Consider the following 26,152-nt stretch of genomic DNA (forward strand, 5'->3'; position numbering starts at 1 on the left):
AGGTTGTCTGGTTTGTAAGAGTTCTTTATATATTCTGGATATAAAAGTCCTTTATCGGCCGGGCGCGGTGGCTCACGCCTGTAATCCCAGCACTTTGGGAGGCCGAGGCGGGTGGATCATGAGGTCAGGAGATCAAGACCATCCTGGCTAACAAGGTGAAACCCCGTCTCTACTAAAAATACAAAAAATTAGCCGGGCGCGGTGGCGGGCGCCTGTAGTCCCAGCTACTCGGGAGGCTGAGGCAGGAGAATGGCGTGAACCCGGGAAGCGGAGCTTGCAGTGAGCCGAGATTGCGCCACTGCAGTCCGCAGTCCGACCTGGGCGACAGAGCGAGACTCCGTCTCAAAAAAAAAAAAAAAAAAAAAAGTCCTTTATCAGATATATCACTTGCAAAGGTTTTTTTTTTTTCCAGTTTATGGCTTATCTATTCATTTTCTTAATGATGTCTTTTGGAGCACAAAGTTATTTGTTTACTTTCTTTTATAAATTAAATGTACTTATTTATTTATTTACTTTGATGTTAAACTCTTATTTATTTACTTTGATGTTAAACTTTACCAATTTATTATTTTATGGATTGTGCTTTTGGTGTCATATCTAAGAACTCTTTTCCTAATGCAGGGTCACAGTAATTTTTTCCTAAATTTTCTTCTATAAGTTTTGTTAGTTCTTGCAGTTAAATCTTTGACCCATTTTGAGTTAATTTTTGTGTATAGTATGAGGAAAGGGCCTAAGTTTTTGTTTTCATTTTTTGAATATTGATATCCAAGTGTCCCAGCACCATTTGTTGAAAAGTCTAAACTTTGCCTATTCAATTGTTTGGCATCTTTGTGAAAAACCAATTGCCCATAAATGTAAGAACTTTAATTCTGTTTCATTTATAATATCTATATGTCTATCTTTATGCCAGTCATGAACTGTCATAATTACTGTGTCTTTATAGCGAGTTTTGAAGTCAGATAGTGTAAGTTCTGTGTATTTTTTCTTAAAATATAAGATTTAAACACAGGATAAATTTGGGGATATATATGTGTATGTGTGTTTTCTGTTCATCTTTTGGTAGAAACAAGCAAGCAAACAAATAAAAATAAACAACTCCCCCAACAAAACCCAGAATGATCTTCTATTGTCTAGAGAATCAAATAATTAGGCTCATATGGTAAGTGAATATATATATATTTTGTTTTGGTACACAGTTTACATTTGCTAGCTCTTATTCATTAACACCTCTGACAAAATTTGTGTGTGTGTGTGTGAGAGAGACAGAGAGAGAGAGAGAGAGAGAGAGAGAGAGAGAGAGAGAGAGAGAATTTTCCATTGGCTAAACTGGCAAGTATCAATGGTGTGCAGTGGACTGGAACTAGCTTTTATGCTTTCACTGTGCTTCCAGAAAGTTAACTGCATGCATTGTATCGCACAGCAGAAACCCTCAAAATCAAAAAATTATTGTTTGGTGTAAAGGTTTCTCTACTATTTGAATTGATGTCCATCTCTCCTAATCCCCACTGTTGTCCCAGTCATTTAACAGAAATAAGGAAGACAACAAAATAAAGTTAACGAGAAAGGCACAAACCATATTTTGCAACGGAACTGCCTCTACACTATTCCTACATTTATATGATTGCACTAAATTATTTATGTGGATCTTTCTGCCTCAGCCTCCCAAAGTGTTGGGATTAGAGGCAAGAGTCACTGTACCCAGCCCTATAAATTATTTCAAGGTCAAATTTTGTCCTTGAAATCAATTAAATTCAAACTGCCAATATCCAACTCTATAAAAGCATTTAAGAATTAAATTATTCATATAGAGTTTTTTTTAAATGAAAACCTACTAGCTTAACCACTTGCTATTAGACCAGGTGTCCAAATAAATCCCAAGCAAATTCAAGCTCAGTATCTTTTGAGCTAAGCCAATGTCAGATATGGGGTTTTAAAAGGAGGAACATTAAAGCCAATGACCAGGCTCCATTAGCAGAAAGAGCTGAAAGAAAATTCCTATAGCTATTTTATTTTTTGAATCCAGCAGATATTATGCTCAAAACCAGTGTTTTCCAACCTAGGTTCTCATCAGAATCTCTTGGAGAAAATTTAAAAAATACAAAGATCAGGTCTCCACACTCAGAATTTTTTAACTTAATTAGTCTATATGAAACAGGACATCATTAGATAATTCTAACGTGTAGTCAGTTTTAGAAAACCATTATTATAAATAAAGCCTCCAAAAGGCAGTTAAGCATGCCATCATGATGGATGCAATTGAAATATTTTTTTCCAGGTTAAAATACTTATACTGAATAAAACATGGATACCCTTGGAGAAGGTCACTGTAGACCATCATGGTGTATTCACTGGACCCCAGCACCTGTTGCTATTCACATGATCTCATCCGTTCCATTCACATTGTCACAATCTAACAGAAAATAACCCAAAGAACTGATGTGTTCTCGTTGCTCCTCATATACTTGCTTTTCTGATAACTATACCTTATACATGTGGCAGTTCAACAATTGCTACAATATTTTTATCTGAGAAATCAAGCTTTTTAAACTAGCATTTTTCTTGAGTGCCAAGAAAAATAAGGTTTTACTATTTTAATGGCTGTATTTACAAATTAATACAGCTCTGTTAGTCGTCAAGTTTTTAGGATTTAGTTTTTTTATAACTGATAATTATTTTGAAATGTTTCATACCATACCAGAAATCTCTAATTGGTTTAAGATATTTAATATAAAGTCATTATATCTGTGGTGAGGATGAGGATCTGCAAGGTAAAAAAGACTTTAGGATGTTTGGTGGAACTACTCTAACAACTTATGTAGGTCTATTTGAAGAAATAAAGGTAATTATTTGAAGTCTGTTTATGAAAGACCAGGAAAGCCTTGTTGATAAGTCATAATATCCAAAATTGAATTTGGTGATGTGCACTATTAAAAAAAATATGTTATTACTTCCTAGCATAAATTGTTTAGGAATACATATTTGTCTTTATAAGGAAGTAAGGGAAAATATTATTCTTAACCCAGATGCGTCAAATAGATGCTAAAAATGATCCACTTTCTTGCCCAGCTACTTCTATCATACCCTAAATGATAAGGTTTTTTCTAATAGAGATAGTTGGTTAAAAGCCAGAGAAGATTTTTTTCTACATAGTGAGTCAATCTTAATACATATCTCTGAGAGTTTTCAAGTTTTCTTATCCCCTTTGCATGATTATGAGAGACTAGAAGACATTTAAAATCTGGGTTTTGAAAGTAGAAGAGCACAGGCTGTTGGTTCTGTCATAGCTCAAGATTCACCAGTGATGCTGAGCAGGAGATTGGAAGAGGAGTTGGGTCTTAGAGCTATGTGGCACCATTTGGGTAGGGCAAGGCATCTAGCAATGGTGTTTCAGTCACATAAGTAAGACCCAGCTACTTCAGGGAATGGCATTCTCCAGTCAACACCAGGGGTCAGATGTAGCAGAGCTCAACCAAGGTGGATGGTGTGGGGAAACACTCAGAAATCCAGGAAGGCTGCTGGTAAGTATAGAAGTATGAACACAGCACTCAGATGGCTCGAGATCCCATTGACAAGTCAATTTGCAGAAAGCTAATTCACTAAAGGGTCAAATGTCAAATGACCACTTGATCAAATTTTTCAATTATCAAAATATCATATTGAAAAATAGTCCTTTTGAATATCTTCAATTAATATATTTTACTCAGCTGTATTTTAAATAATGCTCAAATTTATAAATGCTGAAAATCACGAGTCATTTAGTTTTCTTATGAGTATGAGTATGTTCCTGAAGAATAGGTTCATGAGAATATTCATATTTCATATACTCAAGAAGAATACATTCTTAATCATATCTAAACAAAGTGTGTCTTCAATATTGTTTTAATTTAATATACTCAAATTAATTTAATATACTCAAAATAAATGTTTCAACAAAATTGTTGGCACACTAGAAAATTTATTACATTCAGTGAATTAGTCATTCAAAAAATTGCTCCTTCAGGGAACTGATTTTTGATGACTTGGTCTGTTTTCAATGCGGACTGAAATTAGTGGGGCAGGATTAGGGTTGGGATGAGGGTGGTGGGATCTGGAAACAATACAGAATGGCTCTCGTTGAGAATGAAGTGAGGGCAGCCTAGGACATAGTGCCTGTGTCCATTGCTGGGGCCAGCCTGCAGGAAAAGGGGTGCTATAATAAGCCTAGATAAATGGAGGCATTGGGCTTGAGGCTACTTATTTATATCCTGCTAAAACTCAAATTGCTCTGAAAATAAATAGTGAGGCTGGATCTGTAGAAGATTAAATGAGTTGACCCAGCTGTGGGAGAACTGGGGCAGGCAGAAGCTGGGGAAACAGGAATGGGGGCGAGACATTCCACTGAGCAGGCCAAATTTATGCCATCTCAGACTTAACATATCATCTCTGCTTCTTTGAAATCATGGGCAGTTCCATTAAAGGAAATGATTCAAGTTAGGTTTGGCTGAGATTGGGGGCACCTGATTCTATAGATTTATTTCCTAGGAAGGAAGCAGTATTTCTATTTCTTACTTTGTGCGAGTCCTTCACAGTGAATATGGGGCACACTGCTTGCCATATCGAAGTAGTTAAAAAAAATGCCTGTTGACTTGATACAGTCATATGTGGACACTTGCAGACTCTTTTCAAGTCATTTATGGACACTTCCATGACAAAGTTCTGATTTATACTTTGTGTGGCAAATTTTTCAGTGTTTAGAGTTCATGGGCATATGCTTGGAAAACAGAGGTACTATAGTCATTCCTTGATATTTGAGGAGATGCTATGGTCTGGATGTTTGTGTCCCCCCAAAATTTGTATGTTGATCTTTAATCCCCCAAATTATGGTATTGGGGGACATTTTAAGAGATGATTAGGTCATGAGGGTAGAGCCCTCATGAGTAGGATTAGTGCCCTTGTAAAACAGCCCAAGGGAGCTTGTTTGCCCTTTCTCTACCATGCGACGACACAGTGAGAAGACGGTTGTCTCTGAACTAAAAAGCAGACCTTTACCAGACACCGACTTTGCCAGTGCCTTGATCTTGGACTTTCCAGCCTCCAGAACTGTGAGAAATAAGTTTTTGTTGTTTTTAAGCTATTCGGAGGAAATAAGCTATTTATAAGCTTATTTATGGTATTTTGTTATAACAGCCTGAGCCAACTAAGACAAGATGAGAGAAATTTACATACAAGATACTGCATTGAGACAATGTACTTTGCACTCAGAGTGCTGAAACTTAAAGGACATTTAGAAAACTGTGAAGATTAAAAAGCCCCAGGCGTTTACATAAAGCCTCGGGTGAGATCTTATTTTCAGTAAACTAAACTCACTTTCTCATAGCTTCTATATGTTCAGGCTCTTTAATTACATATAGCAATTAGGAACACCTCAAGCATAAAAAGAATTATTCAAGACCAAGGTTATTTGCCTCATCAGTAACTGCACCAATAATCAAGGTACATACCTCTACAGCTGTTCTAAACAACATCAGTGAGAAATACCAACTGAGACAATTATATAGTAACCATGGAAGCCTAAAAGTTGTGTTGATATGACTGGGATGGGGAAAACTCTAATACTCTGGAGACAGAAGCTTTTCAAAGTGGAACTTGGGGCTGTGCAATGTATGAAAGAATTACAAACTATAGCATTTTTAGGGCTGAAAAAGACCTGAGGCTATTTAGCTCCAATCTTCCTGTTTTTCTCAAATGCCTCATTTTTCAGATGAGAAAACACAGGCAAAGAGCCTGCTCACTGTTACACAATTAATCAGTCCCAGAGCCAGAGCTAGAGTCCAAAATCTACCCAGCAACAAGGAAGCCATCCAAAGTTCTGGGGTTTTTGTGCCCTTTTGTAGAATTACTCTGTGCCAGGTTAGAGCTAATTTAGGGCTTGTCATTGGAATTCTAACATCAGGATGACCACTGTTTTTGGCTATGGCACAACTATAGAATAGTTATCAATATTTCTCTTGGGCAGAAGAGGGCAAAATACGAATCATTGCTGCCTCCTCTTCATCTTCATTCCTGGCAAATTCTCCTATGGACTTTCTCCAAATGGATATATAAATAAAGCCTTTGATGAATATCTTTTGCGTGTGATAGTATGTGTGTCTGTGCTTCAGAAATACTATTTCTCAAAGGATATGAGTGTGTTTCCTAAAGGATAAAAGTGTGAGTGCATAGCTGAGCTTATGTGTTGAACTTGGATCTGTTTGTGCTTGGTGTTTAGATATTTTTAGCTAGAGATGACTAGATTTTCAGCTAATTTGCTAAAAAGAAATTTGTGCTATGTCTGCTGTAGGGCAGGATGATGGAATTGGAGATTATTTCACCTGGCTTTCATCCCCAATCCCTGCGAATTCTTTGGAGATGGAAAATTTAGAGCGGGCTTTCATATTTTTTGTACCGGTTGTGAACAATAAGAAGCTTGAAAATCAGAAGAGGCACTCTTACTACAGGAACAACACCCTTGGGTACAAATGTTTTGTAAAATTCCAATAAACCAATCATTGTCCTCTTTGTGAATTACTGCCTTGTCTTCTGGGGAGTGAGCAGGGCAAAAAGAGTTGAAAGTGAATACTGGAGTCTGACACTCTGGGTAGGATGTTGATTAGGCTTTTTACCAGCTGTGTGATTTTAAGGAAACTCTTTTTGGTTTGTTCGTTTTTATTATACAATCACATCTACACATGAACTTCACTCTTAGGAGCTGTATAAGGGACAGTCACACATCCAAAGATCTCCAATGCAATAACTTTCACAAATTTCTTTCTTTCTTTCTTTCTTTTTTTTTTTTTTTTATAAGGAGTCTTGCTCTGTCGCCCAGGCTGGAGTGCAGTGGCGCCATCTTGGCTCATTGCAAGCTCCACCTTCCGGGTTCACACCATTCGCCTGCCTCAGCCTCCCTAGTAGCTGGGACTACAGGTGCCTGCCACCACGCCCAGCTATTTTTTGTATTTTTAGTAGAGACGGGGGTTTCACCCTGTTAGCCAGGATGGTCTCGATCTTCTGACCTCGTGATCTGCCTGCCTTGGCCTCCCAAAGTGCTGGGATTACAGGCATGACACAAATTTCTATAACTCTCTGACTCTTCAGGTACAGGTAAGGGGAATGACTAATGGCTTGTGACAAATATTAGTTGAATGAATACATTATTAAATACATATTTAATGAATAAAAATATCTAATATTTGAAGGATATTTCATACTTTTATCTTGTTTTACCTTAATATCTGGTGAAGTGAGTGTTTTCATCCTCCTTTTTAGTTAAGGGAATTGAGAGTCAAAAAGAGGTCTAACAATAGTTGTGAATCAGGACTAGACAATACCAGTTTTGAAGTACCTGGTTCTGACTCCAAAGACCTGCAATTATAACTTACACAATTGCAAAGAGCTACACATCATTTCTAAAGACGCAAGAATGTCTGTCTACCTTTGTTTGCAACAGTACAGGCTCAGCCTGACGAATTCCCACCAGAGATTCATACCTGATGTCAAGGGCATACTCTGTTGAGAAACCTGGGTGGCACTGTCTCATAGTGTGACTCTGTTGTCATAAGAAAAGGCTGTTGGTACAGACATTTAAAAACAGAAGATCAGAGTTTCAAGGTTGAGCTTGTATTCATCTCCTTACTGCACAGGAAGCCCTTTGTAGTGCAAACCAATTCCTTCAAGCAACATGTGTCATCCCCTCAGGAGATATCACCTTCTACTCTTTGATTTCACCTAGAACCTGCCTTAGGGAGACTGTGTTCTATGGACAAGCTACTCCTGTAAAAGACATGCTGAAGAAAACAAAAGATTAAGGACAAAAAAGGAAGCAAAACCACTGCGATTGAATTCTCATATAGCTGATGTTAAGATTTGGATAGCTAAAAAATAATGTTATAATTTTTTCTTATAAAACAATTCCCAATAATAAGGTTAAATATATCTGAATAGAAGAGCCAATATTTTAAAAATTTTATAATAATGTATGTATTTCCCTCCTATTCAACTGGGATAAATTCAGCTTTTCTTTTTTGGAAGAAGGAGCTAAAGTATATTTTTCTCCTTTTTTTTTCCCTATTAAGGGAAATAGCCGAGAGAATCTCAGGATTATGCTACAACATATGTTAACATTTAAAACCATTAACTGAATATATATAAAACAATACCTATCATGACAATTTTTGAATATACATTTTATACTGAAAAGAAATGCGAAAAGTTCCTGGACATTTTATGCTTATGGGTGTTGAGCACACTCTCTTCCTCCCACCTTTTCTGCAGGGTGAACTATTATTCCTTTCAAGGCTCACAGTGAAAGCTGTAATGACTTCACTTCTCTTTTTGGCAAAATTACCCGTGCCTGTAACACTTTTGCACAAACTGTAGAACTCAATTTTCTTGAGGTACTGTCATTATCTGTGCCCTCCTGTTCCTTCTGATCTCTGAGTTACTTGAGAACAAGGGCTTGGTCTTATTTGGCACTGAATGTTTCAGACCCAGCCTTGGGCTCAATGAATGTTTGTTGAGTGAATAATATAGGCCATGTCAGAAGCATACTCATATTCTTCTCACGGTGTCTGAGGTTGAAATGCAGTGAGCCTGACATAAGCTCAAACCTGTCTGGAGCCAAGTATAGGTCAGATCCCATGTCTCCTTCAATTTTGGTAGAGTATGAGTCAGTGAGCCTAAATTATTTCCCCAGTTCAATCATCTACTATCTCTGGTTGTCTTAATTAAGCTTCAAAAATCTGTGCCTTCTTCCATCTCATGGGAATGGTGAAAAATAAATGAGATCACATCTAAAGAACCAGGGTTTCTTATTAGAGAGTACATTATTATCATTATATCAAGCAAGCTCCGGGCACTCTCCAGAGTGCTAAAAAATCTACCCTCAGGAAAAACAAAACAAATCAAAACTGGAAACATTTTTACTCTACCTATGCTGTTTCTATTATTAAACAATACACGTCTTGTGAACCTCTATGGCATGACCTTAAAAAAACTGAAAAAATAATAAGACAAACAGCAAGAAAAACAAGTCTAAGCATAGCTTATTTTTTTAATGTGTGGGGACATTGATTTTTATAACTTGCCTCAATGTGCAGAGATATTTAAAATAAAGAAATAATCATTTTTGCCTATTTTGAATTGCAGGAAAGCATATTGATATGTGAACTATATAGATTCTAATAAAATACTTTTAAAAACACTTGTTTTTCAGGTTATTTTGGAAAAGTATGCTTTAGTTAATGAGTTATTTAGAAAAATCCACTGATCTATGTTACCTTACATTTATAGTGCTTTTACATTTACTGTTTTTTCATCTATAAATTAGTTGTGAAAAATACACTGTAAATTGATGAGTAAACAGCAGTATTCATATATATATACACATATATATACACACACACACACACCCTTATGGACTGTAGTTTGTGGGAAAAGTGCCAATTTGGAATCCAATTTTCCTTTTGCTTTTCCTAAGTGTGTTAGGAGAATTCAATTTCTCTACATCTTTTTTCCTCTGTCTCTGTCTCTCTTTCTCCCCAGCTTTCCACTGTTCTCTTAGCTACTATTTCTGTATTTTTCTTAGTTTCTATATACTTGAGCCTCCAATTGTGCTTTTACCTGAGGGCTAATTTAGGAGTAATTTTCTGGTACCTTAGAAACAGCATTCAGAAAGCATAGTCCTTGCCTCCTTCCCAGCAATGCCTGTGGAGCTGACAGGCAGGAACAGAGGCAGGCAGGCTATAATCCATTACTCAGCGTTCCCTAACTCTATTCCACCTGACTCTATTGCCCTTAACTTGACCCCAGTCTATCTGTATGTGCTGGAGGTTGACCATCCTAACACTGAACTTTATCATTCATACCACAGACACTAGAAAGGAGAATTCTTTCTGATAAATTGACTACTGTCAGAAGAACCAGGGTTATGGTAACATTTCACACATATGAAAAACACACACACACACACACACACACACACACACAAAGAACCACTTCATCTTGCATAAAAGCACTTCCTCAGGAATGGGAGTGGGAGTTAATCCAGGTGAGGAGGAAGAGCAAATGGATTTCCTCAAAGCTCCATAAAAAGGTAAATCACTTGTAGGAAAATATGGGAGAAAGTGGTTGAACCCCAGGGCATTCATCCATTCATTCATTCGTTCATTCTTATGGAGTATTAATTTCACACTAGGCACTATACTAGGCTCTTGGAGATATAAAGATTTGAAAATTCAATCAGTAATGTCAGCAAGATGGTAGAATAGAAGCCCTGGATCCATCTTTCCTCAATGGAAACAATGATTCTATAATAAAATACAAACTAATTTACTTTGTGAGAAATCCAGAAACTAGTTACAAGTCTCCTGCATCCTGGAGCAAGTGTAAAACCAACTACATGAAAACCAGCAAGAGAGACAAGGACACCCTCTTGCCAAGGGCCCTACCCCTGGCATGGTCATGGTGCCATACAACTGGGGGAGATCCTAGCTCCCAGCTTTTCTCTGAGGAGGGAAGAAAGGACAAGACCATACATTCAGCATTTGAATTTTTTTTGGAGGCCACCTGAGATACTGGCTTCTGTCTCACTTGCCTTGGAGAGCTGATGGAACCAGGAACACTACAGCCACCTGGGGCTACTGAGAATAATGACTGTGGTTTGAAATGGCAAGCTAACACATGAAGCAGCCCAGCTCAGCACAAGGGAAACAAGCAGAAACAAACAAAAGAGCTCCCAGTGTCTCTATGGGAAGGGTAAGAAAGAATAGGACAATGAATCCAATGCTCTAATATTTTTGGAGGGTTCCCAAAGCACTGAATCCTGTCTTGCCTGCCTTAGAGGATTAATGAAATCTGGCATATTATAGCTACCTGGGAGCTAATGAGACCAGAAACTGTGGTTTGAAATAGTAAGTTAACACATGCCACAGCCCCACTCCCTTGCTCAATGCAAAGTGTTTGGGTAGGAAAAATCCTTAGCTCCAGATTTTCTCTTGTGAGGGAAGAAAAGAATTGGACCATACTTCCAAAACTCTGATTGTGCTGAGGGCTGCCAGAGGCATTGACATCTGTCTTATCTGTCTCAGAACTCTGATAAGACCTAGCATGTTCTAGATGCCTGATGATCAGTGAGAACAAAGGTCACAGTTTTATCTAGCATGAGGATTTGAGGGGCCCCTGGAATCTCTGGCTGGTCTGACTGGTGAGGATCCTCTCCTGTACAAGGTCAATCCATGAAGACTGGGAGTGCGGACATAAACACAAAGAGTCGAGAATAAAGAAACAGGAAAATATGTTCCAAACAAAGCAACACGATAATCTTCCAGAAACCAACCCTAATGAAACAGAGATATGATTTACCTGATAGAAAATTCAAATAGATGCTTGTAAAGGTGCTCAGTGAGTTCAGGAGAACAAAGCATATAAACAAAAGGAGAATTTCAACAAAGAGATAGAAAATATAAGAAAATGTGAAACAGATCATAGAGATGAAGAGTAAATAACTGAAATGAAAAATTAACTAGAGAAGTTCAACAGCAGACTAGATCAAACAGAAGACAGGATTAGTGAAATTCAAGACAGGTCACTGGAAATTATCTAGTTAGAAAAGCAAAGAGAAAAAAGAATGAAGAAAGCTTAAGGGACTTATAGGATGCCATTGAGTGGACTAATATACACATTATGGGAGTGTAAGAAGAAGGAGAAATAGAGATAAAGAGACAGAAAGCTTATTCAAAGAAATAATGAATGAAAACTTCCCAAATCTAGGGAAGGAAATGAACACCCAGATCAAGGATGTTCCACAAATTCAAATAGAGTAAACCCAAAGAAATTCACAGTGAGACACATAATTGAACTGACAAAATTTGAAGACAAAGAGAGAATTTGAAAGCAGCAAGAGAAAAGTGACTCATTCCATACAAGGAAATCTCCGTGGGGTTATCAACAGATTTATCAGCAGAAACATTGCATGCCAGAGAAGGTAGATGAGAATAAATTCAAAGTGCTGAAAGAAAAGACCCCTGCTAAGAATACTATACCTGATAAAAATGATCTCAAAAATAAAGGAGAGATAAAGACTTTCCTTCACAAATAAAATCTGAGGGAGTTCATCATTACCAGACCTGCCTAACAAGAAATGCTAAAGGAAGTTCTTCAAGTTGAAACAAAAGGAAGCTAAACAGCAATAATAAAATATATGAAAGTATAAAACTTGCTGGTAAGGGTAAATATAAAGACAAATACTATAATACTGTAATGGTAGTGGGTAAACTTTTAATCATAATATAAAAAAGTCAAAAGTACTGAAATAATTATAACCATAAAATGTGTTAATTGATACACAATATAAAAAGATATAAATCATGACATCAAGAACATAACGTGTGTGGGGGGTTTGTGGGGGGAGAAGTAAAAGTGTAGCTTTTGTATGCAACTGAAGTTAAGTTGTTTAAAGCTTAGAATAAACTGTTATGACTATGAGTTGTTTTATACAAGCTTCTTGGTAACCACAAAGAAAGTACATACAGAAGAGCCATAAAAAAAGAGAAGGAAATCAAAGTATAGCAATAAATACAAAACAAAATACAGAAGAATACAGCAAGGAAAAAAAGATGAACAAAACAACTACAAGGTAGTAAAAAAACATGGCTATAGTAAGTACTCGCCCATCAAAAGGAAGTACATTAATTACTCTAAATATAAAGGGATTAAACTCCTCAATCAAAAGACATAATGTAGCTGAATGGATGAAAAAAAACAAGATCCAACTTATATTGGATCAATTTATGTAAACTTCTTAAGTTTGACAACTTATTAAGTTTACATAACTTATTATTATTAATAAACTTAATAAACTTATTAAGTTTAGATTTAAGGACACATATAGGCCAAAAGTGTAGGGATGGAAAAAATCATGCTGCAAATTTTAACCAAAAGAAAGACTGGCTATACTTATATTGGACAAAATAGACTTTAAGTCAAAAACTGTCATGAGACAAAGAAGGATATTATACAAAGATAAAATGATCAACTCACCAAAAAGATATAACAACTATGAATGTATACACATCCAACATCAGAGCACTTAAATATACAATGCAAAATGTAACATAACTGATAAAAGAAATAAATAATATGATAATTGTGAGAGACTTCAATATCTCACTTTTAATAATATAACATTTGAAAAAAATCAATAAGGAAACAGGATCTGAACAACAGTATAGAACAAATTAATCTAACAGATCTATACAAAACATTTCACCAAAGAGCAGCAGAATATACCTTCTCCTCTTTTCCAATCACAATAGAATAAAACTAGAAATCAGTAGCTGAAGAAAAACTGGAAAATTTGCAAAATGTGACAACTAAACACACCTTGAACAACTAATGGGTCAAGGAAGAAATCAAAAGGAAAATTAGAAAGTCTCTTAAGACAAATGAAAACAAACAAACAAACAAAAAAACCCAAACAAAAAAACCCCAACATACCTGAACTTAGGGGATGCAGCAAAAGAGGTACTAAGAGAGAAGTTTATAGCAGTCAATGCCTATATTTAAAAAGCAGGAAACTCTCAAATAATCAACCTAACTTTACGTCTCAAGAAGCTGAAAAAGAAGAACAAACTAAGGCCAAAGTTAGCAGAAAGAAGGAAATAATAAAGATTAGAACAAAACTAAATGAAATAGAATAAAAATGTGACAAAAATGGACAAAAGTAAGAGTTTATTTTTTGAAAGTATAAACAAAATAGACAAACCACTAGTAGATTAAAAAAAAAGAGGGAAGGCCCAAATAAATAAAATTAGAAATAAAACAGGAGACATTACAACTGATGGAACCAAACTATTAATAAAAAGATTGTAAAAAACTACTATGAGCAACTATACACCAATAAATTGGATTACCTGGAAGAGATAGATAAATTCTCAGAAACATACAACCTACCAAGGTTGAGTCATGAAGAAACAGAAAATCTGAACAGACCTATACCCAGTGGAGGGATTGAAATAGTAATCAAAAACTTCCTACCAAAGAAAAGCCTAGAACCAAATGGCTTCAATAGTGAATTTGAACAAACATCCAAAAACGAATTAATGCCAATTCTTCTCAATCTCCTCTAAAGAATTGAGGAAGATGGAACACTTTCAATCTGATTTTATGAGGCCAGTGTTGCCTGATACCAAAGCCAGACAAAAATATCAGAAGAAAAGAAAACTACAGGCCAATATCCTTGATGACCATAGATGCAAAAATCCTCAAGAAAATACTGACAAACCAAGTTCAACAACTTACTAAGAGGATCAGACACCCATGACCAGCTGCAATTTATCCCTGGAAGGCAAGTATGGTTCAACATATAAAAATCAATTAAGGTAATACACCACACTGACAGAATAAAAGATAAGAACCACATGATCTTAATAGATGCAAAAAAGCATTTGTTAAAATTCAACATCCTTTCATGTTAAAAACTCTCAACAGACTAGAAATAGAGGGAAATTACCTTAACATGAAAAGCCATACATGAGATTATCATAGCTAACATTACACTCAATAGTGAAGAGCTTTTAAAAGTGTTTTCTTTAAGACCAGGAACAAGGCAAGGATGCCCACTCTCGCTACTTTTATTCAGCATAGTAGAGAAATCCTGGCCTGAGTAATTAGGCAGGAAAAAAAGGCATGTAGGTGAGAAAGAAAAAGTTAAAGTTATCCATGCTTGCAGATGGCATGATCTTATATATAGAAAACCCTAAAGACTCTACCAAAGAACTATTATAATTAATAAATGACTCAGTAATACAGCAGGATACAAAATCAACATACAAAAATTAGCTGTGTTTCTATATACTAACAATGAGCTATTTGAAAGGAAATTAGGCAAACAATCCTGTTTACAATAGCATCAAAAATAATAAAATACTTAGGAATAGACTTAACTAAGGAGATGAAAGACTAATATACTGAACTCTATAAACCACTGACAAAAAATTAAAGAATATAAACAAATGAGAAGATATTCCATGTTTGTGTTGGAACTTAATATTGTTAAAATGTCTATATTACTCAAAGCAATGTAGAGACTCAATGCAATCCCTACCAAAAAACCCAATCACATCTTTTACAGAAAGAGAAGAAATAGTTCTAAGATTCATATGGAATCACAAAAAACACCAAATAGCCAAAACAATTTTAAGAAGGAAGAGCAAAACTGGAGGCATCACATTTCCTGATTTTCAAAATACATTACAAGGCTATAGTAATTTAAACGATATAGTACTGGCATAAAGACAGACATATGGACAAATGGAACAGAATAGAGAGCCTAGAAGTAAACCCACATTTATATAATCAACTAATCTTTAAGAAGGGCACCAAGAATAAACAATGGGGAAAGTATCATATTCTCAATAATTGGTGCTGGGAAAATTGCACATCCACATGCAAAAGAATGAAAGTGGACCCTTGCTCAAAATGGTTTAAGTGCTTAAACATAAGTCCTGAAACTGTAAAACTATCAGAAGAAAATATAGGGAAAAAACTTTATGATGTTACTATTGGCAATGATTTCATGGATGTAATGCCAAAAGCATGGGCAACAAAACGAAAAACAGACAAGTGGAAATACATGAAACTAAAAAGCTTTTGTCCAGCAAAGGAAACAATCAATAGCATGAAAAGGTAACCTACAGAATAGAAGAAAATATTTGTAAACCATATATCAGATAAGAGGTTAATATCAGATAACAGGTTAATTTTCAGAATATATAAGGAACTCATACAACTCAATGCATAGAAAAAGCAACAATTAATAACCAACTTTTAAAAATATGCTCTGGGGTTGAATAGATATTAGTCCAAAGAAGACATACAAATGGCCAACAGATATGTGATGAGATGCTCAACATCACTAGTCATCAGAAAAATGCACATCAAAATCACAGTGAGATATCACTTCACATGTGTTAGAATGGCTATTGTAATGATCTTCTAATAGCATTCCAACTGTTAGTAGCTTCCATCTACTATTTATTATTGTAGTTAACTCCTCCCTTCTTTATTTATAAAACAAATAATTGCCTTCTTACAGATTACAAGGCAGAAATATATTGTCTTAAATCAGCAAGTCTATAGTTCATGTAGGTAAAAAACTATAATGAGGAAGGATTTTTAAATATCAGAAGATTTTAGAAAGAATAGTGAGTGCTGGGATACCAACTTGCTAAAAAACCAGAACAGATATGAAGATTGAGATACTGACCAAAAAAAGCAATAAATAATACTTCTAAGAAGAACTGACTTATTCTTAGAATGTGAGCAGCAAGTTAAGAAGGCAGATTTTGGGAAATACCTTTAAAATCAAGTTTTATCGTAATTTCTAGAGCAAGACTAAAACCATGAATACCTTAAAGAACATATACACTCTACCAGTTAAAGGTAATGTTTTTTAAACCTTGATATATATATATCTAAATGTAAACAAAATATGATTCTAAAAACACAATATATGTAAAATTATATATATATAAGTATATATATATATAATTTTAAAAATAGTAGGAAAGCAGGAAATCATTTATAAGTTACTTTTTGGGCTTTAGCCCATGCCTGTAACCCTAGCACTTTGGGAGGCCAGGGCAGGAGGATTGCTTGAGCCTAGGAGTTGGAGCCCAGCTTGGGCAACATAGTAAGACCCTGTTTCTACGAAAATAAACTAAACTAAACTTTAGCCAGGCATGGTGGTGTGTGCCTGTAGTTCCAGCTGCTCAGGAGGCTGAGGTAGGAGGATCCTCGAGCCCAAAAGTTGGAGGCTTCAGTGAGCTATGACTGTGCCACTGTACTCCTGTACTCCAGCCTGGGTGACAGAGGGAGACCCTGTCTCAAACAAACAAATAAACAAACAAACCAAATGTGATTTCTTTATAGAAAAACACAGCCAAGGGATTCAAAATATTTAATATTTGAAAGTGTATAATTTCTTGACTATTCAATATTTTTCCTGATTCCTTAGGCTCAGATAGAGGAACCAGCAATCAAGAATTATAAATATGCTAATGTGTGTCTAGTTTTGAACCTAAGTCTAAAAAGCACTGAGGTGGTCTGAATTCTGAGATTCTCATTGGAACATTTTGTTCCAAACAGATTTTTTTTAACGTTGCCTAGCTGAATTTTAACTTATAAATCATATAAAATTACATAAATTTTTCATTCGGATCAACTCCCATTTTTAAATTAGGAAATGTTTGTTTAGTGTGGGATCAACTAACAATTCTCATTTTACAAGACAGGTCACAGACACTTAAGAAACAAATTCAAGCACCTAATTAATTGTTGAGGAATAGTAGAGTTCACATGTTTTTTATTTCCATTATTAAGAAATTTTCATTTTTGTTTAAGACATTACTAAAGCAACAGTATTCTTGATTATAAATATATCTGTTTAAAATACATTTTCTTTTGATTTATGAATTTTAACTTGTAGCAATGGGAGGCTTAAAATGTTTCTGTCTGTAGTTAGATGACTTCGTTACTCTTCTTTTGCTTCAAAGTCTCCACAAATCTAAATTTGTTGTGACTTAGTATGAGGGCATTGGTAGGGTGTCATTTTTAGACAGTTTAAATTAATCATTATATAATTTGGTAGGGTATCATTTTTAGGGAGTTTAAATCTAAATTATAATATATCTAAATGTAAACAAAATATGATTCTATAAAACACAATTACAAATAAAGCTTGATATCAACAAAATATTTTTAGGAATATAAATATCAAGATCAGACTTTATTATGTATGTAAGAACTTTGTAGGTGCGAGTTCCTATTGCTCTTCCCTTTGTCTTTTTAACACTTTAGCTCTTCATGAATCATTTCTATCAGACTATCAGACTGGAGTAGTGAGGGAGTAGAGGTTAAAAAAAATAGATGGTCTTTTCTGTTATCTCCTTATTTTAAAGAAAGGGTTTTTATTTTTATTATATTATATATATATTTTTTGTCATTGTTGTTGTTGTTGTTTTTAAGAGCACTAAAATTGAGTCAGAAGGTATGACCTTGAGTTTAAAATGTATAATAATGCCAGCCTTGTAACTTGGGTGTTTGAGTCTTTCCCACTGATTATTGTGTCTTTTGGATATGGTGAGAGGAAGGAGAGAAGTAAGTGTTGCTGAATTAGAGCTTGAATTTGAAATGGAAGCAAATCCAACTCCTATTAATTGGGGAAAGTTGAGAGTCAAATTGGGAAGACCAGACACCTAAACCAACTCTCAGGTGAGGTGTCTGGTAAAGGACAGGCTCATAAATGAAAAAACAGAGCAAGAATCAAATTTTAAGAAGGGTCAGAAAAGACCAGTCTAAGAGAGGGCAGAGAGGGAAAGAGCAGTTGAGGACAGCCAGCTTGGAGGGATTATGGCTTATATGATCAGACTTTGGTTGTTTTTGAATGCATTTTATGCTGTATTTTCTTAAAGAATGGATTATGTCAGGAGTGTGCTAGAGTTGGCTCAAACTGGCTCATGCAATTTTTAGAAATCTTGCAAGCTGATTATTAAAAATAAATTATATAAACTTAAACTGAATTATATGAAAAACAAAGGCAATAAATACTCAAAACTCATCACTCCCAATTATTCTAATATATTTTGTTATTACTCATGTTCTTGAGATTATTTCCATCTATTGTATCTATATGTTGAAAATACTATATAATATTGTGTTGCTGCACATCACGAGTCCTAATTTGTCGCATTTTCTGACTTGCATGCTATAAATACTCCCACCATGGCTGATTTAAAGCTAGCACTGTGACATCATTGAATGCAGACTTGGGAAGAGATGCACAGGAAATTGTATATTTGAAAACTATTGTGTAATTCAATAAAAAATTACTCATTGACAAGTGAGTTTAGCATATACCTTAGTTATTTAATTTTTATCTTACTCATTAGTATATATAAATGTTAACCAACATTTATATTGTCAGTTGTAACTACAGGTTGGCAATGGTTATAAGATTTTTGTAAAAATCAACCAAAGTATTCTGTGAGAATCAGGTAGTTGTATGGAAATTACAATACAAAGTAATATCTATGTTAATATTATTTGTAAATTATGTGCTACACATTCTTTATATCAGTAAAGGTCATATAAGCTTATATATATACACACTTATACACATACACATTTTCCCCACAATGCCAGTTGCAGTTGTTAAACATTTATCAACACACCATTGGGATATTAATCTCAGTTCAACTGTCAGTCAAAGAGGAAGAAAACATCTTCCCTGACTATCTAGAAAGAGGGTGAAATTAGTCAATGCATGTGAAAGTTTGTTACACACTGCTAAGTACTACACAAATAACAATTAAGGTAATGATTAGGGAAACCGCCTTTCCTCTTGTGGTCCAGGCTTTCTTCAAGGTTTTAAAATGACAATATCTTGACTTTCTGAAACAAAAAAAGTTTCACTGGAGAAGAAAGTTGCTTTTAGTAAATTGTGTCAATTTTCTCTATCTCTGATATTTTTCTTGCTTATTTTAATGGTCTTTTATCCTAAACTATAAAATAGATCATTCAGAATGGTTATTTCTATTTGCATCTGAATTGAAACCATTGTGGTTTTTCAATTTACACAGCTGAGAACAGGAAGCTTTGAGTACAATTTAAAAAGAAAGAAAGAAACAACAACAACCCTATAATATCATGGGGAAATGAGGTAAGCAGAATAATTACTAAAATTGAAATTTGGCTGAAATGACAAGTTCAAAAACCCAACTATTTCCATATGTGCTCTTGGATCTTAAATAATTAAAAATGGCCATGACTCATTTCATCAATGTAGGAACTAACTCAGAGAAACCAATACCATTTGTTCATGGATGCTCATGATTATTACCCCTTGATGACTTGGCAAACAGCAGGAAGATTGGATCAAGTCAACTCTGCTTAATTTTCACCATTTGCTCAAATTAACGTACAAAATGACGTCTCATCCTATTCACAGAGCTGAATGTAACTCCAATAAACATAAGAGAAGGACTCTAATTAAAATTGGAACACTTTTTCCCTCATTATGTTATAACTTTGATTTATAAAAGGCAAACTAGTGTTATTCAGTCTAAGATGTTCATTGGAATCATTAATTTAAGAAACACTAAATGCTAGTCCCAACCTGCTGGGATCCTCATTTGGTTATTCGGAAGTTGGGCTTTGGTATTAGTATTTTTTTTTAAGTTTTAACGTCTGGAGGAGGTTGAGAACCACTGGCTGGATTTATGATATTTTCCTATAGTAAGTACTTCTCCAGAGGTCAGGTTCATTAAAGACAAGTCAGAGCTTACACCTGTAATGTGAATATCTTGTCAAAGATTCATGTTACAATAACTTTTTCTTCATACTTTTGTAAAAAATACTGCAACTCTCATATAAAAGTTAAACTTTATGTAATACTAGAAAACGAATAAATGCTATTATAAATTAATATTTTTCACATAAAGATGGCCAGTTATAACCTTTCTTTCCCCAAAAATGTTCAAAAATTGTCAGTCATCACTTGGTGTAGTAAATATCACCTTTCTCCTTAGTCTAAGCTTGTAATCCTTCTTTCTAATCACTCTGTATCCTACTTTGAACCTAGAGTTCCAGGTAGAACTTTAAATTCAGTGTGGAACTTAAGTCTTCACATTGGAATCAAAATTCCCTCAGCGTTTTCAGGCCTGTTAGCAACTTTCCTCTGCTCTAGAGACTGATGGTCCATTTAGTCATTTAAAACTGTTAGAAGTTGAAGGCATGGCCTGAGGTATCTTTGGTGCACTATTATTAGGAAGTCTTTGATATCCTTTGAGTTTCTTTACCAAAGAGCAAGGAAACAACTCTGTTACAAACACCTAAATCACCTCCACACTCCAGCTTGAAAAACACAGTTGCTTTCACTGAAATTTATTCATTCAGTTAACAGCATATTATAGAGCCCCTACTCTATGAAATACATGCATATCTGGAGGTTCTCTCAATAGTACTTCTGTACTATTATCATATACGTGTGTCAATAATTGTATTTGAAATTATTATTATTATTATTATTTTGAGACGGAGTCTCACTCTGTTGCCCAGGCTGGAGTGCGGTGGCGCGATCTCGGCTCACTGCAAGCTCCGCCTCCCGGGTTCACGCCATTCTCCTGCCTCAGCCTCCCGAGTAGCTGGGACTATAGGCGCCCGCCACTGCGCCCGGCTAATTTTCTGTATTTTTAGTAGAGACGGGGTTTCACCGTGTTAGCCAGGATGGTCTCAATCTCCTGACCTCGTGATCCACCCGCCTCGGCCTCCCAAAGTGCTGGGATTACAGGGGTGAGCCACCGCGCCCGGCCCTTATTTGAAATTATTTACAAATTATCATAATATTGAATCCTCATAGTAGTTTTATAAGCTTACTAAGGATCAGAAATTATATTATTTGCCTTAAGTAATATTTCATATAATATGTAGTGGTTGTGTCAATGGGTAACCTCGAAGAGGGTCTTAGTATCCTTTTCAATATTCTTCACTGTGTTCTCAAAGCCACTTCAATAAACATGCTCTCTAATGAAAACCAAGGAGCTTTATATGCAAAGAACTTTAAGATAATTTCTCTAGACACTCCTTCCACAATATTGTCATTCTGATGCTCTCTCTATGTAGAAATCCCAGAGCCTCCCCTGATACCACTGTACTATGTTCTATTGAATTACATGACATCATCTCTGAGTAATTTCTGCTTCATTTTTATTGCAATGAATCAAAAGTTGTAAAGCCACCCTCCTAAGGTTACAGAATTAAGTTATACGCAGTTAATAAGAGTCATAATCTTGAAATATTTGAAGGCGATTTAAAGCTCAGGCCTGCCTGTTTCCAAAGCCCGTGCTCTACCTGCAACATTTCATAAGAGACTAGCCACTACTAAAGTGAAAACACATGATAATTAGTGATTAAAACAAAGGATATTAAATATCATTTTATCTAGAGTAATATTTGTTCCAAAATGAATGGACACACACTAGACTTTTACACTAAAATATTATAGAATTTTTTGTTGTATCACAGGATGACGAATGCGTTTGAGTCCTGGTTTTACCACTTAGTGTTGTATGATTCATGAGAGAAGAAAGCTGTTTCAAATTTTATCTTTATCTTAAAGGATGAAATGCAAAACACTGTGAGCTATTTTCTGAAAATTTTCTCTTTTAATTCCTATAACTGCTTAAAATTGGTGACTCTTATACATTGCTAATAATTGTTAGCAAGTGGTATTAATTTGCTTTTTGTGTTGACACTTTTCTGGCTTTGCAGATAGTGCCACTGAACTAAATAAATATTTCTAAATCACAGCTTAAGGTATAGAAAAGGTGGCTCTTGAATAGAGATTATTTTTGAAGGTGGAGAGAATCTGTGTTTGCCCAGTAGCAAGGCAATGTTTTCAAATGATTCTGCTGGGATCTATTAAACTATAAAGCAAATCAGATGGCATATTTTTGCCTTGCCTTGCTGACAGCTTCATCTCACAGAGAGTACAGGAAGCAAGAAGGAACAGTTTCTTAGAATATAATTCTTATCAATAAGAGAGAAATAATTAGTGAAAGTAGAAGAGTTGGATACCTAAGGAGAAAAACAACTATTAATTCCTAGAGTATGTGATATCCAGAAGAAAAATGCTGAACTTAGTAGGCTAGATACATTTCAACTTTCAGAAGGCAAACTGGGGGGAAAAACAGGAAAAAAAAACCTACATGTGAGTGTCAAGACTGCAATTTTGGCTGTATAATCATAAGTGATGCAGTTAAGGGATAAAGGAAAATTTCATCTTTAAAATTAGTGCAGATCAGATCCGGCCTGAGGGAGACCTATGCAACAAATTACTCATTGCAAAAGATGGGAAGTTTGATGTTAGGAAGTCTAAATAAATGTAATAATCTGTGGCTTGCAAAAATACTAAAGCAACAAAGTAGGTCTTTGGAAACCTATGTTTAAATCAAAAGGTCAAAATAAGGAATAGGCCCACTTCTTGCAGCTAATGCCATCAAGTCAAGGGATGGCAAAGAAGAAGCTGATATCCTCAGCTCCAAACTTGTTTCTGTATCCTTTGTAAATGAATCTTAAAGCACTAAGAAAGTATTTGTGAATATTAAGAAAGACAAATTTAAAATAAAAATAATGAGAGATCCTTGCTACTGCAGAAGTGCAAATTTCTCTCTGAAAATAATTATACTGAAAGTTACCATGAAAAGTTGCTGTATGAATATGGTTGTTGCTGATGTCCTTAAAGCAAATGGGAACATTAAAACTGTGCAAATATTTTCAGTTTTTAAAATGGGAAGCAGGCCAGGCACCATGGCTCACACCTGTAATCTCAATACTTACGAGGCTAAGGCAGGGGATCTTTTGAGTCCAGGAGTTGGAGGCTATGGTGAGCTATGATCATACCACTGCACTCCAGCCTAGATGGCAGAGTGAGACCCTGTCTCAAATAAATAAATAAATAAATAAATAAATAAATATAGAATAGAAAGCAGTGAATTCAACAAAGTAGACAAGTGATATTTACATCAATTCCTAGAAAGTTTCAAAGATCCATGAAAGTTTCAAAGATCCATGAAAGTTTCTAAGATCCATCTTTCTAAGATGAAAGGACAGAGTTTGAAAGCCAAGAAAAAAAAAGCTGTAAGACCCAAAACACGGTATGATTTCTCTACAACTAAGTCTTTGTGGATCAATTCCTTTCTTCCTCAATGTTGCTGGACTTACCACTCCACCTTCTGTGGTCTGTAAGTGCGTTGTCTATATCCTGTACACTTTTTTTCTCACTGAAGTACAGCTAATTGTTTGAAAATCTTCTTCACATACATGCCTGTGTGGAACTTGAAAGCAGGAGGCTTATATCTTTATATCCACAGTGCTTCTATGAAAAATATTTACTGAATAAACTAATGGCAGATGAAAGAAATGCATTTGAAAATTTTATGTTAGTATTCCATTAAAGCATTTTGTAATTTCCTAATGGAATCTTTGTGAACAAGAGGGAGGAAAAACATATTGATTGCAAGGGCAACTAAGTAAATTAATAACTATATGAACCCAAAATATTAACAGTGTTTTTAAATAAATAAAAATGAATGAGAGGACTTGTTTCTAGTAGTGTATAGCAGGGCTTCTGTCTTTGGCCCTGTCTTGATCCACAATCAATGGTTTGGATAGAAACATGAAGGATAACTTATTAAGTTCATAGGTGACACAAATTTTGGTATCATAGTATAGAAGCCAGATCTTAGGAGCAGCATCTGAAAGCATTTTTTACAGCATTAGGAAAGGCTATTGAAATTAAGAAAGAGTAAATTAAAGGAAGCAGGATGAAATTTAACAGAGATAAGACATAATTGGGTCCAAACAACAGATGACAAATGTACAATATGGGATGCTTTATGCTAGGCAGTAGCATGGGCAAAAAGGGCTTGAGGGTGTCAGCGCTTTTTATGCTACATTTCTGTCATGTTTGCAAAACTCATTCATGTTTTGTTAGCTTTAGTTTTGTTCTGTTCTTTTTTAGTTAGAGGTAGAACCAGATTTCAAGGGGCTTGAAAGCATATATAGCTTTGTTCTTTAAAAAAGTATAGAAATCTTCTTTTTTGCTAACTTTATGAAAACATATTTTCCCATGAACACATTGATAGGGATCCTCCCAGCCTTGGAAGAGATCAGCACAAGCGAGTTGCCCAAAGTTTCAGCTTCACTGGCTTCATGAAAAATACAATTCCGCATGTGGTATTCTATTGTAAAAATAATTCAACAATGTATTCTAATGTTGATGGACTTTTGGTCCATTCCTAAATGCTAACTCTATGAAAAAAAAAAGAGCTGCCAGCATGTAAATATGATTTAGGTGGCACTATCCAATAGAACTGCAAGATGGTCCTGTTCCATATGGGTGCTGCTCAGTACAGTAGTCACCAGCCACATCTGGTTACTGAGTACTTGAGCTGTGGTTAGTGCACCTGAGGAATGAAGTTTTAAATTTAAAAAATGTTTAATTTATTTAGATGTAAACAACCACATGTGACTAGTGGTTAATGTATTGGACAGTGCAATTCTAGGATGTGTAACCAAGAGTGTCATTGCTGAAGCATAAGGCATGGATATATTTAACTTTTGGAAATATTTCTAACCTGTTTTACAAAGTGTTTTTAACAATTTATCGTACCAACAGTTTATATACATTTAAGTTTTTCCATATTCTCATTAACTGTTGAAATTTTCAGAATATTTAATTGGAGCTATTTGTGTGGGTGTGTGGTGGTCACTCACTGTTATTTTAATTGAGATATACCTTTACACATGGCCATGATTATTTGGATTTCCTTTTACATGAAGTATCAGTTTAAATCTTTTGCCCACATACTATTGGGTTGTCTATTGTTTTCTTGTTGTACTATTGGTGTTCTTTATAAGTTACATACTCTAAATATAAGTTCTCTGTTATATATTTTTCAAATATCCACACACAGAGTTTTAGAGAATAATACCCAAATCTCACTCCAGACCAATTAAATCATAACTTCTATGGGTGAGATTGTGACATATTTAAAGATCCCCTAGGTGATACTAATCTGCCTCTGTGAGGGGAATAGATTTAAACTCAGTGTAGGAAAGGATTGCTAACTATCAAAATTATCTCTCCGAAACAGTGTATGGTAGTGAACATATGGACTGTCTCTGGAATCAGATAACTGAAGTTTGTTCACAGGCTCTGATAGACCTTAGGCTTAACTTCTCTGTGCTTCAGTTTTTTCATCTGTAAAATTGAGTAACAGTACAAACCACACAGAGTTTTTGTGAATACTAAGTGAGCAATTTTTTGTAAAGTACTTAGAACCTCATGTGAAACATAGCAAGTATTCAATAAATACTAGCTATCATCATCATCATCATCAGCAGCAGCAGCAGAAATTTAAATTATCTGCCTCACAAAGTAGTGAGAGCTGTCATCTTTCTTAATAGGAAAACATCAGAAACCTTTCCACTAAAATCAGGAAGAAGGCAAGAATGCTTACCACCTCCTCCACTATTCAACAATGTTTTAGGAGTGTTAGCCAATATAATCAGACAAGAG

General features: G+C 35.1%; 1 protein-coding gene across 1 annotated transcript in view, besides 1 other annotated feature; it reads right to left on the reverse strand.

Annotated features, from left to right (window-relative positions):
- Nucleotides 1-26,152, reverse strand: part of GPR149 (G protein-coupled receptor 149) — a 95,248-nt gene that overhangs the window by 43,960 nt on the left and 25,136 nt on the right. The window lies entirely within an intron of this gene.
- Nucleotides 4,914-5,083: an enhancer, noted in NCBI's record as "experimental_65451 CRE fragment used in MPRA reporter constructs". NCBI's record gives its function as "activates a minimal promoter by MPRAs in K562 erythroleukemia cells, with activity observed for both the introgressed and non-introgressed 3:154101690 variant alleles {active_cell/tissue: K562}" and the evidence as "EXISTENCE:reporter gene assay evidence [ECO:0000049][PMID:34662402]".

Source organism: Homo sapiens, chromosome 3 (assembly GCF_000001405.40).
Source record: "Homo sapiens chromosome 3, GRCh38.p14 Primary Assembly".
Taxonomy (NCBI): domain Eukaryota; kingdom Metazoa; phylum Chordata; class Mammalia; order Primates; family Hominidae; genus Homo; species Homo sapiens.